The sequence below is a fragment of the Homo sapiens genome, chromosome 10, assembly GCF_000001405.40.
Source record: "Homo sapiens chromosome 10, GRCh38.p14 Primary Assembly".
Taxonomy (NCBI): Eukaryota; Metazoa; Chordata; class Mammalia; order Primates; family Hominidae; genus Homo; species Homo sapiens.
Genome location: NC_000010.11, coordinates 129,389,596 through 129,395,595, shown reverse-complemented (window position 1 = coordinate 129,395,595; position 6,000 = coordinate 129,389,596).

Here is a 6,000-nt window from a genome sequence, read left to right as displayed (position 1 = left end):
GGAGGCATCCTGCATGTATGTATGTATCGGCAGTTCTTTATAAGATGCATACATTTTTATTTTGTTTACCAGTATGCAAGGCACTAAAAAGGGTTTTATTTGAAGCACACACTGCAGATTTACAATATTATATTCGAGTGTATACATTTTCTAGCAACAACAAAAAAAGCCCTCTACTGTATCCATACCAGTGACAAATCTGCCAGGAAGTGACTAGTTGATATGCCTTTTTATTACCGCAGCTGCCTTGTTTTTTCTACTCAAAATAAAAGAAAATCACAGGATCCTTAAAATAATAGCTGGCAGCAGGTAGTTACTGGGAAATGCATGTCCCGGCTCTTCACTTTGTAGCATCCATCCGGATGGCAGATTAGAGGCTGGGATCTGCAGGTCGGTGACAAATACACGGGTAATAGCATTCAGCTTGCCTAACTGTAAAAGTGAATTCACTAGTCCTCTTTGTTTGATTGTAGACCTGACATGTCAGATGAGAAGGGGCCTTGGATAACCTGCCAAAACAACAGCACAAATAAACGCCAGACACCGGGGCTGCTTGATGTGGAATTACAAACATCGCTCCCATCATCGATTCAAATGCAGCTGATATGTAAAGCTCACGTTGTGGCTGCCTTAGATGAAGGGGGATCTCGCAGCCCAAGTGCACCCGGCGGGGTGGGGCTGGCGGGAACAAAGTGCCTCCCTGGTACCCCGGCTGCTCATTTTCCTCGGGCAAGGTGGGAGCCGAGGCTCTGCACGCAGGACGGCGATATTTAACATGCATTGGTTTTCTTATAAAAGTTCTCTGATTGTCTAATGTGACAGACTCTGGCATGGGAGACACTGCCACGAAAATTGCCTCCTGTAGCACCGCTTGATTTAAGGGAGAGGCAGCGCTTGGGAGAAAAAGAGTCAAATGCATGCAGCTGGTGGTGTCTTTCTTTACATATTCCCTTTGCGTTCCTGCAGAGCCCCGCGCAGAAGGTGGCAATTGTGGGAAGAGGGCAATATTTACTGGCTGTGTTTCTTTAAGACCCAAAACCACAGTGGTGGTGATTACATTTCTGCCTCATGTTAATGCAAATCCCTATGGTTGATTGCAAGATTTAATTTTTTTTAAAAAAATTGATGCATAATAGATGTACATAGTTTTGGGGTGCATGTGACAATTGAATACATTCATAGAATTTATAAAGATAAAATCAGTGTACTTGGGATATCCATTAACTTCAATAGTTGTCTTTTCTGTGTGCTAGAACCATTTGAACTCTTCTCTCGTTAGGATTCATTCTGTTTTGTAGGTTACATAGGGATTATCAGAAAAGGCTTTTTAAAAAATTCTATCTTAAACTATAGAAAAGGAATCTTTTATGATTTCTTTTGAAATTTTTGTACCAAGCTTTGGTTTTTACCACCTCACTCCAGAATGGCTAAGCTGACATTTTTTTTTTTTCCCACAATGTGCAGATCTGAAAGCTGTAGGGAAAATAAGTTACAAAGACCTGCCCTTGAGCCAGGACTTTTCTGCGTTCAGGGCGGGTCATCGGGGCCGTGGGTTGGGCCACACCGCCACATTGACGGCAGATGACCCCTCCATGGCGCTTGCCTGCCCCGGCACCACCACCCACACTGCATCCTGTTCTGTGCCACCTACAAACCAGAGTCAGAAAGATCTCTTAGCCGAAGTGGTATGAGTGAGATTTAATGCAAGGATTAAATGACCAGTGGTGCTCAGAGAGATTATTGACAGCTGGTTTGCCTCACGGGCAGTCCATTTTGAAAATAACCTGCACATTGAAAATATGCTGTACATTAAAATACACATTCTCTATTTTCAGCCCATGATGTAAAGTTCATCCCAATAACAAAGTACTAAATGATTGTGGATCACTCTGTTTGATCGGAATTCCTTAAAAAGTACAGCCAAAGGCTGTGAGTTGTGATTTCCAGGTCAGCAATCATCCCCAGCAACATGCCTGGATTTCCGATGTTTCAAAAAAGAGCGCACGTGAAATTTACATGCGAATGTTTAGCATCTGCAATGATTCGCACTTTTCTTAGCATGCTTGATGGTGCGTCCCAGGATTTCTAGCCAAGTAGAGTCTTTCAGCATCCTGGTGACATCCTTATTTAGCAAACAGACTCTTCAATCAGAAAACTAAATTTAGGTCTTTGCAAGAAGGTTATGAAAACTAATTTTTCTGTTGCCAATATTGATGATTAAATCACCCTAATTTACATCCTCTGAACTAATCATGGGATGATGTATTTACCTGCTATGTTTACAAGAAGTAGATAGCAACAATTAAGTTTATTTTAACTGTAGTTATGAGAAATACAGTAAACGGTAATAGATGCCAGAAGCAAATAAACATATTAGCAGGAAATGTTCAAATGATCTGAGTAACCCTACAAGCCAGCATAGCAGGTGGTGATATCCTGTTTTTAAATTACATTTCAGCAAGTGAACATAATAAATCCTCCTGTGTTATACATTTCGCTGGTAGCGACTTAGACTCACATTATTCTGTTTGACCTCATTCCTGCTAATCACCATCCTGGTTTTAATAGCTGCCACAGTGAGTGAAACAGTTAATGCAGTATTTCTTGCCGAAAGAGTGCCTGTCAGGCTATTGATGACAAATTAAAATTAATAAAGAAGATCTGTGTTGAATTGGAGGGAATGGAATAACGACGGCATCCACGTGACGGCTGCGGCCTCTGGGGCGCTCTGTGAAGAATAATGTTTTTGGTGTACGTGCATTGTCTTGAAAGGAATGCTAAAACTGCCAAATCTTTGCCTGGAAGACTTCCTGAAATGGGAGCTGTATCCTTTCAGCCATCATCACATGTAATTTATCCCTCAGAGAGTTATTTCCCGTTCTGCACACCTTAGCTCTGTGCTGTAATAATAGTATGTTTCCAAGGTTCTACAATTTTATTTACCTCGGTAAGAACCTTTACAAGAACAATCACATCCACATAGGAGTCCAGAAAAGACGGTAAATAAGTAAAAGTTCCGTACGGCATTTCTGCCTAAAACACCTGCCTCCATGTTGAGGGGCTGGGGCATTTTGTGCAAGAACCAATGCCACTGCTTGTTCCAAGAGCACTGTGCATTTTGGGGCGGTTCTTTCCTTTCTTACAGAAAATGAGGTCTAATCACAGTGCATTTATGTTTTCAGTGGTGGCAGAATGAGAAAGCAAAGTCTTCCGAAGATTATATGAAATTTGCAAAACGCAAATGTTCCTGTAGCTTATGTATGTTTCACATCTACTTATAAATTGCATGTTCAATACAAGGAAAAAAGATTTTGCTGGGAAGGTAGGAGCCGACGGGGAAGGTGAGGCACCATGGGGACGGCTGCTCCGAGATGTCGGGGTCAATGAATCCAGCAAGGCGGGATTATTGCAGCCCCACATAGACAGTGGCCAGTGTCCCAGAGTCAGCGGACATAATTTTGACTGTACCCGGGAGACGCACTCCGAAGCCCGAGATATCTCTTCCCCCAAAGAGGCAGTCCCTAAAGGTCAACGCGGAAGTTGTAGGGAGGTCCGCCCAGGGAGCGCTGGGCATTATGATTGCCCTGGAAAGAGGAAGCAGGACAAAACCAGGGCTCCCAGACCCCTTCTGGAAATCTAGGGGAACCCCAGTGTCACCACCACAGTCCATGAAATGAGGCCTGTGGTCCTCTGGCCCTACGGGGTCAGGAGCCTGCTGTCCAGGCTGGCCTGACCTCAGGCCCGTCCCGCCCTCAGTATATCCTGGATGTATTGTGCCTGTCCCGTCTTCAAGTTGCCAGATCCAGTGTTCTAGGGGAATAAAGAACAGTGGGGAAAAGTCCTGTCCTGGGGCTGTGGGGCCCCGGGACAATGAGCTGACACCTTGGAGACCACTCTCTGGGTGGCAGCCTGTCTCCCCTCCTTCCCTGTTCTGTGCTCCTGACCTGGGGCCACCTGGCCGTGGCTCCTGGACCATCCTCAGGCTTGAGGGTCTGTGTTCCCCCAGCTTTGTGTGCCCAGGTCCATCCTGAGGCTGTGTGCCACCCACCCTGCCCGTTCTCACTGGGCACGCAAGCCATGGTGCACGCCACCACCTTCCTGAACTAAACCATTTTGGGTAGAGATAATCTGAGATTTAACCATTCATTAAAGGACTTGGACATCTGCCTAATTTGGACGGACTTGCTATCTGTGATTTTCCTCTTCTCCCAGCAGCAGGATCTGGGCCACTCCTTGCCTCAGTAGGACTTCCGGCATTGAGTCCATCTGAATGACGCATTTTAAATTTAGAATATATCAGCAAGGAAAAAGAGAATTTGGAATTTAGATATTTGACTAACACAGTGCCCTTCCCTTCCCTTCCCTTTCTTTCTTTTGAGATGAGGGTCTTGCTCTGTCACCCAGGCTGGAGTGCAGTGGCATGATCTTGGCTCACTGAAACCTCTGCCTCCCTGGTTCAAGCAATTCTCCTGCCTCAGTCTCCTAAGTAGCTGGGATTACAGGGCCCGCCACCAGGCCCGGCTAATTTTTGTATTTTTAGTAGAGACAAAATTTCACCATGTTGTCCAGGTTGGTCTCGAACTTCTGACCTCAGGTAATCCACCCCACCTTGGCCTCACAAAGTGCTGGGATTACAGGCATGAGCCACCGCGTCCGGCCCTCTTGCCACATTTCTAAGTCCTGGTCTCACTTCTCTAAAAGTTCATATAGGGGCTTAATTAGAAACTGACATTGTGTATTATAACCTGATGCAAACTAAGAGCCTTCTGCATTTTGTCCAAATGTCTAATGATCATGCAGTACGTTTGATGCGTAGTAGTTGTGTATTCCCTCTGTTGAATAAAGACTCATCCATTTAACAGGGGTACAAAATGATGCTATGTATCCATCTCAGTCCTGAAACCAGGAATTGTTCTACTACAGGATTAAGAGGGTTGACACCTTGAATAATTGAGAGGAGGTCCTTAGCAATTCAGAGGGTTGACATAGACTAGTCAAATTGCTCTGTCTCCGAGTTGTAAAATAAAAATACAGAAAATGAGAAATTAATTCAATTAAACATTTTCCCACCCACATTTTACCTTTCCTCACTGCTCTGGGGAATAATTTATGAAATGTATATCACCAGAAGACTTATTTTTGCCATTATTTTTAACTTAATGAGTATACCTTGCACATCAGAGGGAAAGAACAAAGGTTAAATTTTACATTAACAGCACATTGCAACATGGTATGCAAATATCTATATGCAAATATAAAGCCCCTGGAAGATAAATGTGTTATATTTTTAACCAGTTAACTATGACTGTGAAGTATTGCGTGAGATATTCAGTGGTTTCATTTTTATATCTTTCTTGTAAATAATGCATAAAGTATGTAGATGGTGTCAAAATATGATTAAGCTATTAGCTTTATAGTTTTCATAGTTAAGAATGTGTTCAGCATGGAACCCCTAATAACTCATTTCTAAAGGCAGTGGCCATTATGAAATATTTCTTGTTCAAGTGAACGTTGTCATGTGACATAATGATTTTGCTTAAAACCAAGTTAAATGAGGAGTAAAATTAAACAATATTGCATGAATTGTGTTTGACTAATTTTGTGTCACATTATATTAGCCAAGCTTTCAGAATATGTGTTAATGACAAATAGTGTAAGCCCCAACATACTTTATATGTCTGTACAACCACCCTTAAGTCATTAGCTGTTTAAGGGTTCATTTTGTTTGCAGTTTTTATAGCCAGTGGCTTTTTCTGATGATTTTTGCCCATAAAAGTAGACACCATTTGGAAATAAATGTTACATACATTGCGGGAACTTCATTTTAGTAACAAAAGCTTGGATTTTATAAGAAAACAAAAACAAATCCTTCGAAACTTGAGAAACCCAAGGAGCTAAGCACTATCTCTAAATTAGATATTAAAATGACTTTTCAAAATAGTAATTACTATCTCAGAAGGACTCTTCTCTCACACGGTAGCAGGCTCTTCCAAATAAAAT